The sequence below is a fragment of the Homo sapiens genome, chromosome 5 (assembly GCF_000001405.40).
Source record: "Homo sapiens chromosome 5, GRCh38.p14 Primary Assembly".
NCBI classification, from domain to species: Eukaryota; Metazoa; Chordata; class Mammalia; order Primates; family Hominidae; genus Homo; species Homo sapiens.
In genome coordinates, this window is record NC_000005.10 from 119241213 (window position 1) to 119255608 (window position 14396).

At 36.9% G+C, this 14396-nt stretch overlaps 1 protein-coding gene across 25 annotated transcripts in view; it reads left to right on the forward strand.

Moving 5' to 3' along the window:
* DMXL1 (Dmx like 1) overlaps nt 1-7915 on the forward strand; it is a 178101-nt gene extending 170186 nt beyond the window's left edge. For 24 of the 25 annotated variants that reach the window (NR_170869.1, NR_170867.1, NR_170868.1 and 21 more), the window contains 2 exons: nt 3147-3364; nt 5783-7915. Coding sequence is in view for 21 of the 25 variants with exons in the window: in XM_011543213.3 (XP_011541515.1) it covers nt 3147-3364; nt 5783-6007 (443 nt within the window). In the remaining 4 variants the exon portion in view is untranslated. Of the gene's footprint in view, nt 1-3146; nt 3365-5782 lie in introns of those variants that run through there. The other variant, XM_047416838.1, reaches the window with a different exon arrangement.
* Nucleotides 7916-14396: the final 6481 nt, after the last annotated feature.

The following is a 14396-nucleotide window of genomic DNA, read 5'->3' on the forward strand; positions in this document are numbered from 1 at the left end:
TTATGTCATCTGTTTACAAGATGAATTTTCTGTCTGAGGCCGGGCGCAGTGGCTCATGCCTGTAATCCCAGCACTTTGGGAGGCCAAGGCGGGTGGATCACGAGGTCAGGAGATCTAGACAATCCTGGCTAACACGGTGAAACCCCATCTCTACTTAAAATACCAAAAAAAAATTAGCCAGGCGTTGTGGTGGATGCCTGTAGTCCTAGCTACTTGGGAGGCTGAGGCAGGAGAATGGTGTGAACCCGGGAGGCGGAGCTTGCAGTGAGCTGAGATGGAGCCACTGCTCTCCAGCCTGGGCGACAGAGCAAGACTCCGTCTCAAAAAAAAAAAAAAAAAAAAGATGAATTATCTGTCTGAAATGGCAGGCAACTACAGCTGCAGACCTCAATTTGTGGTGCATATCAAGCAATTCAACTTTTTTCTTGTAATGTCTTGACTTTGGTCTGCTTTTTGGGAGCACTTCCAGCATTACTAGTGGCATGTTGTATGGTTCCCATGGTGTTATTCAAGGTTTACACTGTTGCACTAAATACAATGAAAAATTCACAAGTGCCACAGGAGATCACTTTTCACTGCAATATACAGTTTACTGGAGAGAAGACCTGCTCACATGGAGATGATGAGCATCACACAGCATTTTAAGTATATACTCGCAACACTTGAGCTAACTGCAATAGCAACAGGAGGTGGCTACTAAATTATAACAGTAGTACAGTATGTACTATAATTAATTTTATGTACTTATGATTTCATACTGTATTTTTGTTTACATTTCTCGACTGTCGATGGCACCACTTACAATCTGTATTTGTGTGCGTATGTTTCAATAAATTTAACTTTTTGTAATTTGTGTATATTTTATGGTAGTAAATGATAAAATAGACTAGTATCTACATATGTTTTATGCATTCATGGCATACTTTTTCTTAATTTTTTGGATATTTCTTGGCTATGTGGGTTGTCTGCAAGTTTTTTCAAATTATCTCAAATCTTTAAAAAATGTTCCAATATATCTATTGAATAAACCACATCTAAGTGGACCCACACATTTCAAACCAGTGTTGTTGAAGGGTCAGCTGTACTAAATTCAGTTGCTTTTTGATGCATCAACAATGAACAATTGCAATTTGAAATTTAAAGAATATTACCATTTACAATAGCACCCAAAACAATGAAATACTGAGACATAAATCTAACAAAATATGTACAGGGTGTGTATGCACAAAACTATAAAAATGATTTAAATCAAAGAAGATCTAAATAAATGAGTGATACTCCACATTCACAGATTAGAAGACACAATATTCTTAAGATGTCAGTTCGTCTTGATTTTATAGATTCAACACAATCCTAATCAAAATTCCAGCATGCTACTTTGCAGATATCAACAAACTGATTCTGAAGTTTATATGGGAAAGCAAAGGAATAGCCAACCAAATACTAGAGAAAAACACACTTGTGGGACTCACATTATACTATCTGATTTCAACACTTATAAGCTACAGTAATCAAGACATTGTGGTATTAGCTTAAGAATATACATATAGATCATAGAACAGAATGGGGAGCCCACTAATAGACTCACATATATAGTAGACTTATGTTTAATATGTCACAGAGGCAATTCAGTGGAGAAACGATAGTCTTTTCAACAAATAATGCCAGAACAATTTAATGTCAACATATAAAAAATTGAACCCAGATACAGACCTCACCTTTCATAAAAATTAACTCAAAATGGACCATAAACCTGCATGTAATATGCAAAATAATAGAACTTCTGGAATGAACTAATTGGATAGAAGTCAGAATAGTGATTGCTTTTGTTGGGGAGGAGAATTGACCATGAAGGGGCATGAAGGAACGTTCTGGGATGATGAAAATATTCTGTACCTTGATCTTAGTGATGGTTACACAGATGTATTCATTTGTCAGTGCTCATCAAGGTATATACTTAAAAAGTGTGCATTTTCCTCTGGGAAGTTATATCTCAAAGTGCTGGTCAAAGTTCCTTCTCTGTAATTAATTTTATTTCAAGTCTTACAATAATAACTAAGTGTTTAGTTTATGCCATGGACTATACATGATCTGCATATATTAAATCCTCAGGCAACCCTATTAGGTAGGTGATAATCTCTTTTACAAATGATGAAACTGAGACTTAGGTAAGTAATTCAGCAGAAGTACACATTTAATCCCACACAGAAACCAGGATTGAAACCCAGGCAATCTAACTCCAGAATCCTCACTGTTCATTATGCAATATTCTCCTTGAGCTATATGCAGATTTTTTTCCCTAAAATTTGTTAGGCTGGACTCTTTTTTAAAGAAAAATAGTATCATATTTTTATATTTCTCATACTGCTGTGTCTTCAAATTCATGAATCTTTTATTTTACAAGGCTTAATCTGCTGTTAATCCCATCCAGTTCCTTTTTTATCTTGAGCCTTGCTGTTTTTAATCTGTTAAATTTTGATTTAGGCCTTTCATGCCTCTAATTAACTTAAAATTATAATGGACTTTTAATTTCCTTACCTACTAATTCTGTCATCTCTATTATTTCTGGGTTAGTTTCAATTGATGGATTTTTCTTCTCCTTATGGGTTATATTTTCTGCTTTATCACATTCCTGTTAATTTATTATTAGATGGCAAGCATTGTGAATTTTACTTCATTAAGTGCCTATTATTTTTGTATTCTGTAAATGTTCTTGAGCTTTGCTCAGGGACAACTTACTTGGAAACAGTTGAATCTGGGGGACCTTGGTTAAACAGGACCAAAGCAGCATTTGGTCTAGGGCTGATTTTCCTCCGCTACTGAGTCAAATGCTTCTGAGTACTCCACCGAGGCTGGTACGGAACCAGTTCAACCAGGGTTCCTCTCCTGGTGCCATGGTCAGGAAACTCTAAGTAGTAAGCTAGGGCAGTTTTATGACTCACCCAGTTTGTTTCCCATCTCTCAGAGATCATTCTTCATTACCTTATATCCAGTGTCTGAAATCATTGGTTTTTATATTTCATTTGATTTTTTAATTGTTTCAGGCAGGATTGCAAATCTGGTCTATTATTTCACTTTAGCCAAAAGCCAGAAGTCTATTTCTTTTATTGTTAAGTGTTTTTGTTTTTTTTTTAATTTACTTTCAGCATTTACCTGCCATGACAGTGGAGCCACAGTTTTAGCATATGCTCCAAAACATCAGCTACTAATATCAGGTGGCAGAAAAGGTTTTACATATGTATTTGACCTTTGTCAACGACAACAGAGGCAGCTTTTCCAGAGCCATGATTCTCCTGTTAAAGCCGTTGCTGTTGATCCAACTGAAGAGTACTTTGTTACAGGATCTGCCGAAGGCAATATAAAGGTAAACACAGTTGATGCCACAACATCTACAAAATGAAATCTTCAGAAACCTTAGCTCTTTAATCGTATTGATGACATCAATCTATTTAAATAATAGTTATATTAATTCCTTTGTAGTCAGCAGTGCTAATTGCTATTTAATCTTTCAATGAATGGAATATTTAACTTGAAAATTTTCTATTTTTCAGTTGTTTGAAAATATGTTTAATTCATACTAAAACACCAAATTTTCCATGAATATAAACATAATTCAGATATTAGAATTTGTCTTGACTCCATGTTCAGAGTTACATAATTTACTGAATTTAATTTCCAGGGGCTGAGAAATGTATTGATATTTTCTTTTATCCCACATTGCTCGCCAGTTTTTCATATATATTATTATCTAGTCCCTCAGTGCCTAATTCAAGAATTCTGGATAAACCTTGCCTTTAGCAGTCCTTTTCAGAGTCCATTGTGTTGAAAACTTAAGACAGGTTTTTTCAAATGTTAAGCAGCTTGTTAAAAATGTTAAACAGCTTATTAAATATGCAAATTGCTGGGTCTCACTCCAGAAATACTCAGTTGATAAGTAAGTCCAAGACTCAGGGATCTGCATTTTAATAACACACCTAGTAATTTTAATGGAGGGTCTTTTGGCCCTGTTTGGTAATTGGTAAATCAGTTTAGACTAATCCCTATGTTATTTTAATGGTCAGCAACCCTAGACTAGGGGGGTTTAGTTTCATCGAATTTATTAATTTAAGCACTTACACTTATTTAGTAGAATCAGATGGGTTTTTTAAAACCAGCAAATTGTTTTCATAATTCTCAACCAGGAAAAGACTAGAATTATGGAATTTTTAAAAGCCTTTTTCTTAAAATCAAATATATATATACCAACAGAATTATTTTCCTTCAGTTTGAAACTACTTTCTTATTTGGACTGACTCTCTAGTTTAGAATATGCCATAGTTAAGTCGGTTCTTTTTTTTTTTTTTTTTGAGACGGAGTCTTACTCTGTCGCCAGGCTGGAGCACAGTGGCACGATCTCGGCTCACTGCAACCTCCACCTCCCGGGTTCAAGCGATTTCCCTGCTTCAGCTTCCAGAGTAGCTGGGACTACAGGCGTGCGCCACTACACCCTGCTAATTTTTTGTGTTTTAGTAGAGATGGGGTTTCGCCATGTTGGCCAGGATGGTCTCGATCTCCTGACCTTGTGATCCGCCTGCCTGCCTCTGCCTCCCAAAGTGCTGGGATTACAGTTGTGAGCCACCGCACCTGGCCTAGATTGGTTCTTTAGTTTGTACTTTGATCCTGTGGTTTATTGTTTAATCAAGGTTAAAAAAAAAAAAGAGTTGAAAATATACAATGTATTCAGAAGCCCTAATTTAACAAATTCATATGCAGGGTAGTATGAATTAATGAATTTCTTAGAGTAAAGAAACGTTTAGAAAAATGATCTCCAATAAAACCAGGAAATAAGTAGGTTTCGCTAAACCTAAAATACATGTCCTGAAAGCATTTACGTTCTTCCCATAAGTAAAGATGCGTATAATTTGCTTTACAGGCACATTTATTTTGATAAGGGCTGGAAATACAAAATCTTAGTAAATTAAGTATCCTGAAATTGTAATAATTGACTTTGTCTTATAGTTAAAATATAGCTTTGCCTGGTCAGAGGGCCTCTAGGTGTCAAGTACTTCCCTCTTTCTAGCTGTTCTGATCCCTGGTGAGCATTCAATAATGTAAAGAAGAGATTACCTTACTGTACACCTATACGGCAAAAGCTCTGCTGAGAGATAGGAAACGTTGATTTTAATCCCTACAGTATTGTAAGTTTCTGTAGCATTGTACACTTAACCTCCTTGTTACCTACATTGTTTCTCTTACTCTCTTACTAGATGGATTTTTAAGTATTTTGTGTTAAAGCAATTGGTAGATTACAACACTCTATACAGAATCAAGGTGTTATGATCCTAGGCCTACACAGATTTTTCTCTATTTTTGTTTTGGAAATTCCTTACTGCACAGGAATGCAGGCCTAAAATTTTTATTTGGTTTCTTTTCTTTTCCTTTTTTTTTTTTTTTTTTTTGAGATGGAGTTTCACTCTTGTTGCCCAGGCTGGAGCGCAATGGTGTGATCTTGGGTCACTACAAACTCCACCTCCCGGGTCGAAGCAGTTCTCCTGCCCCAGCCTCCTGAGTAGCTGGGATTACAGGCATGTGCCACCTCGCCGGGCTAGTTTTGTATTTTTAGTAGAGATGGGGTTTCTCCTTGTTGGTCAGGCTGGTCTTGAACTCCTTACCTTAGGTGGTCTGCCTGCCTTGACCTCCCAAAGTGCTGGGATTACAGGCATGAGCCACCGCACCTGGCCTCATTTGATTTCTTAAGGTCATCATCAACCCTAATTTTCCGTTTGTTCTTAATATCTTTCAGATTTGGAGTCTCTCTACCTTTGGTCTTCTCCATACTTTTGTCAGTGAACATGCTCGGCAGTCCATTTTTAGAAATATTGGAACTGGAGTGATGCAAATTGAGACAGGGCCTGCAAATCACATTTTCTCCTGTGGAGCTGATGGAACAATGAAAATGAGAATACTGCCAGATCAGTTTAGCCCTTTAAATGAAGTGTTGAAAAATGATGTGAAATTTATGCTATAACATTTTTACAATAAGATGTACAATTTATTACCTATATGGAAGTGGCCAACAGATATAATATACAGTGATCATTCTCTATGCCACAAATTAGCTAATGCTTTCTTGTTTTTATATTTATTTTATGGAGCTTTGCCCTTGATGCACTGATGCCTTAAAAATTAACAAGGTCATTCAGAAGTAGATTACATTGCCTAAAGTAGAATGTGTAAGTAATGCTGTAATAATACATATCATAGTATATTATAATCAGTATGTCATAGTGTTAAAGGTGTTTTGTTTTCTTATTGATACTTTTCCACAGGCATCTCTGCATGAATTTCTTCCACAGTAAAAATACGTTTTTTGTAAAGGCAATTGTACATAATACTCATCACTTAATTCACCACACTCTCACTTCCTTTATTAGCCTTATACATCTCAAACTCTTCTCTTAATTAATGATAGGTATTTGAGTAAGAATGAAAAAAATAATGAACATCTTCATTAAAATTGTCATTGAGACGTCAGTGATAAATGAGCTAGATGGCTCAATATGTAAGGTTTTCAGTAGTTTACCCTCCGGAACCCAAGTTGTATGTATGTATACGTGTGTGTGTGTGTGTGTGTGTGTATCTTACACATCTTATTTGAACTTAGTTGTATATATTAGCGAAAACTGGTTTTTCATGTGTTTTTGTGCCATAACAACTATTGCCACCAGAATAACTTTTTTTTTGCAACTGTGCTTTTCATTTTTAAAAAATTTTTGAATTCCCATCCTAATTTTCAAATAAGTTTCAAGGAGACTATCAGGATTATTATTTTAAAGATTAGATTTAGTCAAATAAGTCTTAGCAGGCAATAAAGTTTCTGTGGTGGCATATATCATGTAAGACACTTAAAGTAAGTTTGTGAATTTGTCAACTTTCGAGCATCAAACAAATATTTTACTTAAATTTTATTTTATCTTATTTTTAGGTGCTTTTAATCTCAAAATTCTGAAAAGCGAATAGCAGTGTTTTCAGAAACAAATGTGAAAGCAGTCAAATTAAGTAGATACTATTTAGAAATGTAAAATACTCTCCAGATCTACCATTAATAGAAAATAAACTAAACCTTATATTTTATTTTTGCCAAAATATTTTATTATAAAATATGACCAAAATATTTAAAATGCACAATGCTTTTAACTTAAATGTGCTAACCCTGTTTCTGTCTGTTTTGTGCTGTACCTTTTCTGATTCAGAATTATAGAAAACTTGATAAATACTTGATTTTAACCAATGAGACTACAGGCAGATGGGACTAAGTGTTTATGGGACAATTATGTACTATTTAACTTAAATATATTTTGTTTAATAGGAAATATATAATAATAGCATTTTATGTAATAAAATATGGGCAACGATTATCTTGGAAATTAAAGAGTCAAAGCAAAGAAATGAAGGGCTGGTAAAATGAATTTTGTAATATCCTCAGGATACTTTTATCTTAAAAGTATGTTGTTAAAGATTTTGTAAATTGTATTTCAACAATTTTAAATGTGTTGAGCAAGTTGCAGTGCAAACACTGTCATTATGTAGAGAGTTTATATGCACATAATAACCTGTACCTATAAATCGTGCAATAACCATATGCGACTATTTTGCCATGGAGAAATCTGACAGCATTGCAAACAATAGTATTGTTTGATGTAGTTAACCTTAAGTTATTTTTCAGTAATTTCTTCACAAATCAAGATTCAAACAGCTTTAAACACTTCCAATGAGATAAAATATTTACTATTATGCTTATTAGAACAAAAGGTGTTTAAGGATGAACTAAATATTTTAATTGAGCATTTATATGGATAATCATACATTATGTAAGCCCATATGTATTTACATCCAGAGTCATAATATTTTAAATAAACAATCATGCAGAAACTTTTTTAGGGGGTATACTATTGTTTTAATATCGTTGCCAATTTAGCTGACTTAAAATATGTGACATTTTAAAATCAAGAATTTCCATATTTGTATTTGGTTAATGTAAGGAGGATGGAATAACTTTCCCGAATACCCTGTTCTTTTCTACCGTCTTTTTAAGTTGATAGGTAAGCAGCATTCAAGGAAGGTGGGAATAAAAATTGTTGAAATGTTTAAATATAAAATGATATACATATATGTAAAATTTCATTATCCACATTAATGGAGTGGATACATCAAAATACATTTTTTAATTGTGTGTTTCCTAAGAATGTGGCTTTGTGATCATATAAGGATTCACAACATTAACAAATCTTATTTTCTGATATCTAGGATTTTTCTTAACTAAAACCATGGACCAGTCATCTCCATCCTCCTTTCTTGCTCTTTGCCCTTGCCCTCCCTTCTTTGAAAAAAAAAATATTTTTTAGAAGAATTGCAGAAATTTCTCACATTGGTCCCAACAATGGAAACACAATACAAAGACACATTCAAAGAAAAGTCTATACAACCTTAGGGTGGAAGTGATCTTTTTAACAAGATTGGAAACACAGACATATTTTACTTAATAAAAAATTTAAATGTCATATGGCAGGGACCACAGTCAAAGTTAAAACAACAAGTAGACTAGAAGAAATATTTGTATAGTAATAGGAAACATGTCAGTGTCCCTGTATACAAAGAGAAGTTTAAGTTATTGGAGAAGTGGTCACACTGTGAATAAGCAATTCACAGAACAGGACATTGAAAAAGTCAACAAATATAAAGTGTGTTCATCTTCATTATAAGGGTTAATGGATTGTTTTTTAAAAAGTATTACTGTAATACTAGTTTTTATCAGATTGGTTTAAGGTTAAATAGTGACAATATCCATTTTGGTGAAGATGCAAGGAAATTGGCAGAAACATTGCTGGCAAAGTTATCTGGGTGTGAATTAAAATCAAATACACATAACTTTCAGTGAACAACCTTCTGAGAAATTATAAAAATAAAAGCTTCCATGCATAAAAATGTAAGGACACAGATGTTTATTGAAACATATTCTAGAGGCCAGATGTGTTGGCTCACACCTGTAATCTCAGCACTTTAGGAGGCTGAAGCAAGCACAGGTCACTTGAGGTCAGGAGTTTGTGGCCAGCCTGGCCAACATGGTGAAACCCATCTCTACTAAAAATACAAAAATTAGTGGAGTATGGGGTTGTGTGCCTGTAGTCCCAGCTACTCAGGAGGCTGAGGCAGGAGAACCACTTGAACCCAGGAGGTGGAGGTTGCAGTGAGCCGAGATCATGCCACTGCACTCCAGCCTGGGTGACAGAGCAAAAGTCTGTCTCAAAAAATAAAAATGAAAAAAAAAAAAAAAAAAAAACTGGAAATCTAAATGTTAATTAGCAAGTAAATGGTTGAATAAATTATGGTACATACATGTAATATTATAGAATATTCTCTCACCACTAAAAAGAATGTTAGATATGTATATGTTGGCCTGAGAAGAGGCTGATGAGGAAAAAAAATTACAGAGCAAAAGATACAATATCCTAATTGTTTAGACTTTTTAAAATATATATGAACAAAGAAATGCATGTGGAAAAAATACACAAAACTTTTAGCATTGGGAAAAGGAAGAAGGCTGTAATATTTTCCCAAACTCCTTTAAACCTCACTCAGTAAAGTAATACCAAAGATAGTTTTGTTGAATGTGTGTACGTGGGAAAAACAGCTTTATTTTTAAACCAAGTAGTACTTCATGACTTTGGGAGCTGCTCTGTTGAATAAAGTGATCTGGTGTCAGGAACACTCCTCTTTGAATTGTTGAGATATTTTTGGTGAAATTTATTTAAGCTGAATGTTAAAATGTTACCCTTTGGAGCAGGAGTCCCCAGCCCATGGGTGACAACTGGTACCGGGTTGCACAGCAGGAGGTGAGTGTTGGGCAAAGCTTCATGTGTATTTATAGCTGCTCCCCATTGCTTGCATTACCACCTGAGCTCCGCCTCCTGTCAGATCAGTGGAGGCATTCGATTCTCATAGGAGCAGGAACCCTACTGTGAACTGCGCATGCAAGGGATCTAGGTTGTGTGCTCATTATGAGAGTGATGCCTGATGATCTGTCACTGTCTCCCATCACCCCCAGATGGGACCATCCAGTTGTAGGAAAACAAGCTCAAGACTCCCACTGATTTTATGTCATGGTGAGTTGTATAATTATTTCATCATATATTACAATGTAATAATAAACTGCACAATACGTGTAATGCGCTTGAATCATCCTGAAACCATCTGGCTCCATGGAATAACTGTCTTCCCACGAAACCAGTCCCTGGTGCCAAAAGGGTTGGGGATTGCTGCATTGGAGTACCTGGAAAAAGTTGATCATAGATTATTTGAATGTGCCTGTTAGTATTCTAGAAATGTGTGTAGATTTCAGTCCAGTTATTTTCAAAGCTGAATCTGTTTTTGAGCTTTTCAAGATGTTTTTTCTTTCTGCTTGGCTGTCATTGCACATATATGGTCCATTACTCAAGGAACTAACACTGAGAGTGTCACATTGTTTCACAGGGGTCCTTGGAACAAAAACACTTTTAAGTTCTTCCACTGCAAATACAGATGACTAATAGAAACAATTGGTGTGACAACACATTTCACTCCACAGTGGAAAAAATGCTTTATTCATGGACAATCAATTTTCTATGCAATGTACAGGTATGACCTGTGTAACAGAACTCAGCCAGTATGGTGTATCCCTGGACATACGTTAAATAAGTTTTAAAAATCCTTTGGAATCTACTCTTAGCATCATTTCTGAAATTGCAGCATATTTGTTTTCTGAAGCCATACCTTTTTTTTTTTTTTTTCAGTTTATTCTGAACACAAGCAAAGATAATTCCTTAAAATAGGATCTGGTTGTCTGTATTTGGGTTGTTTCATTCTGTGTTTTGCAGAAAATGCATCAGATTACTATGGCCATTCAGACATGAAGATAACTAAGCAAGCTACAATACTTGCAGTGTATGTTAAGATCTCATAGGGCTTTTTCCTAATGAGAAGTTTTATGACGGGGGGGAATGCCCCATCTGGAGTTTACATTAAAGAAAACTTCATGTGTAGATGAAGTTACATGGATGTAGCCCTACAAATGAGGCATATCTTCTGATAATGCAGTTCCACAAGAAACAGCAAATGAAGCGAGGGCTAGACTTCACCCCAACACATCCCCCTAATAAGTTATATAAGCATTCACCATGGCCCTGTACCTCATAGTCAGAAGCCCAAGATTCTTATACAGTAATGACAGTCATCTAAATTTCAACTGTTTCACAAATCCCTTTAAAGAACAAAAAGAACAAATCACTCAGATACCATACCTAAGCATATTAGATGGCAGAGAAGACAGCAACCTTTAAATTACATATAATTTAGGAAATAAATATCTGAGTCTCCCAGACCCCACACTGTAGCAGAAAATGATTGGAAAAGGGGTACATAGAAGAGTGCAGGATTCTACTGGTACTGACACAATATGAACTGGAGTTTAGAAGGAGAGGGTCTCATTCTGAATGGTGAAATAGAACAAATAACTGGCTACTGAAAAATAGAGTTGGAAATTGTATGTGATTAGGTGTGAATATTTTGGGAAATTAGTTCTGAAATAGGCCATCTTCAGAGGAACTGATGTCCTTTGGAGGCTTATTGGTGAAGGGAGAGAAGGAAGTAAATGAAGGTAAGTGTCGTTTAACAAGATATCAAAGAATCCAAAAATATCCTCCATAAAGGTGTGTGATTTTTTTAAAGGAAATCGTGATTTATTTTACAAATAAAGCACTGTGCTCCTGAATGAAAAAAACAGCCCCCCTACACTTGTCCATAAGATTGTTTACTATTGTAACGTGAATAGTTTATACCACATGTGAAAAAAAAATCCACACAAATTTACTCTCAAAACGTTTCTTTGAACATACAAAAACACGCTAGGCCAGGTGCAGTGGCCAGTTCCTGTAATCCCAGCACTGGAAGGCCCAGGCAAGAGGATTGCTTGAGCCTAAGAGTTCAAGACCAGCCTGGGCAACATAGGAAGACCCCCATCTCTACAAATAATTTAAAAATTAGCCGGGCATGGTAGCACATTCTTGTGGTCCCAGCTACTTGAGGCAGGAGGATTGTCTGAGCTGGGGAGGTTGAGGCTGCAGTGAGTAGTGATCATACCACTACTTCAGTCTGGGTCCAAAGTGAGACCATGTCTCAAAAAAAGCAGGGGAGGAGGGGTGGCTCATGTCTGTAATCCCAGCACTTTGAGAGGTCAAAGTGGGAGGATTGCTTGAGTCCAGGAGTTCAAGACCAGTCTGGGAAACATGGTGAAACCCCTTCTACAAAAGAAAAAAAAAATAGAAAAATTAGTCATGCATGGTGTCACGTTCCTGTAGTCCCAGCTACTCAGGAGGCTGAGATGAAAGGATTACCTGAGCCTGAGGAGACCAAGGCTGCAGTGAGCCATGATTGTGCCACTGCACTCCAGCCTGGGTGATAGAGTGAGACAGTCTCAAACATAAAAATATAAACCACCCTCAATAATTTCATGAAACAGAGGAAAGCAGTAATTCAAAATAGTCTAACTTACTAATTGATCGACAGGGTCTCACTCTTGCCCAGGCTGCATTTACAGGACCTGCATTTACTCAGGAATGAAAACAGCAAAATTATCTCATAAATCAAGGCTAAATTAGAGATGGCCCAAGGGAGAAGAGATATGACTGAAAGCACACATGTAACAGAGAGAATAGAAATTAAATGAGCCAAAAAATGAAGTAAAAAATTGTTGTAGAGAAAATAATAGATATAGAACACAGAAAAATATGCAATGTTTATGGGAAGGCAGAACTCTGGGTGCAGAGCCAGGAGTTGCAAGCCCAGAGAGCAGAGCTTTGAATCACAGGGTTATTCTCAGGCCTTGAAGCTGAATGGAATTTTCCCTGCTGTTCTTTGAAATTGCTTGGGACAATGTCAGCACCCCATCAAAAATTACCAGACAGGAACAGAAGCTGAAAAATGTGACTCATACGAGAGAAATATCAGTCAATAGAAACAGAAAACATGGGCCGGGTGCAGTGGCTCACGCCTGTAATCCCAGCACTTTGGGAGGCCAAGGCGGGTGGATCACAAGGTCAGGAGATCGAGACCATCCTGGCTAACACGGTGAAACCCCGTCTCTACTAAAAAATACAAAAAAATTAGCTGGGCACAGTGGCAGGCGCCTGTAGTCCCAGCTACTCGGGAGGCTGAGGCAGGAGAATGGCAGGAACCTGGGAGGCAGAGTTTGCAGTGAGCAGAGATCACGCCACTGCACTCCAGCCTGGGAGACAGAGCAAGACTCCGTCTCAAAAAAAAAAAAAAAAAAAAGCAGAAAACATGGCAGACTAGAAGTTCTGGCACTTGTCTCTCTCACAATGACAACCAAAACGATGAAAACTACAATTTAATCTGGGCATGGTGGCTCATGTCTGTAATCCCACTACTTTGGGAAGATGAAGTGAAAGGATCCCTTGAAGCCAGGAGTTTGAGACCAGCCTAGGCAACATAGCAAGACTCCATCTCTACAAAAAATTACTTAAAAATTAGCTGGATGTGGGTGGTGCATTCCTGTAGTCCTAGCTACTAGGGAGGCTGAGATAGGAGTATTGCCCAGGAGTTTGAGGTGTATCACAGTGAGCTATGATTGCACCACTGTACTCCAGCCTGGACAACAGTGAGATCCTGTCTCAAAAGAAAACACAACATTTTAAAAACAACAAACAAAAATAAAACGGAGAGTTCCAAAGTGTCTCAGAGGAGTAACATAAATCTGGATGGGAACAGAAACAGATGGCCACCTAGAAAACAGAAGAAAACATTGGGCCTCTACCACCCCATTCCCCAACTAGGATTAGCTGAAAACCAGGAGGAACTTCTCCTTTCAATAAGGAGGTAGGAATGAGGATGGTAGCAACTCCCATCAATACTTTGGACACCAAAAAACAAAACAAAACAAAACAAAAACGGATAGGAGGCAGGACTAAATCACAGCTCCCACTCATACAGAGCATTGGGTGGAGACACATTGTGAACTCTTGCTCCAAGAACTACTGCAGGAATATACCAGGAAAGATGAGCGAATCCACAGACCCTTTGAAGGAAGTGGATTGCTCCTGCAGGACCCAGGAGATAGCCCAAATACTGTGAGTGCCCAAACTGTGAAAGTGGGAAAGAGGGATCATCTGCCCCTGAACACATACCCTCACTGGGGAACCTGAAGGTTCAGGTCATAGGAGAAGGATTTGACTTACCAGGAGCTGAGACAATTTAGAAAGCCAAGCAAATTACATGGGTAGAGGAAGCAGTGGGAAAAGCCCTGTGGGCTCTCTGGGTCCCCACGAAAGCCATTTCTGACTTTTCTCTCAGGGATCCTTGGGGAG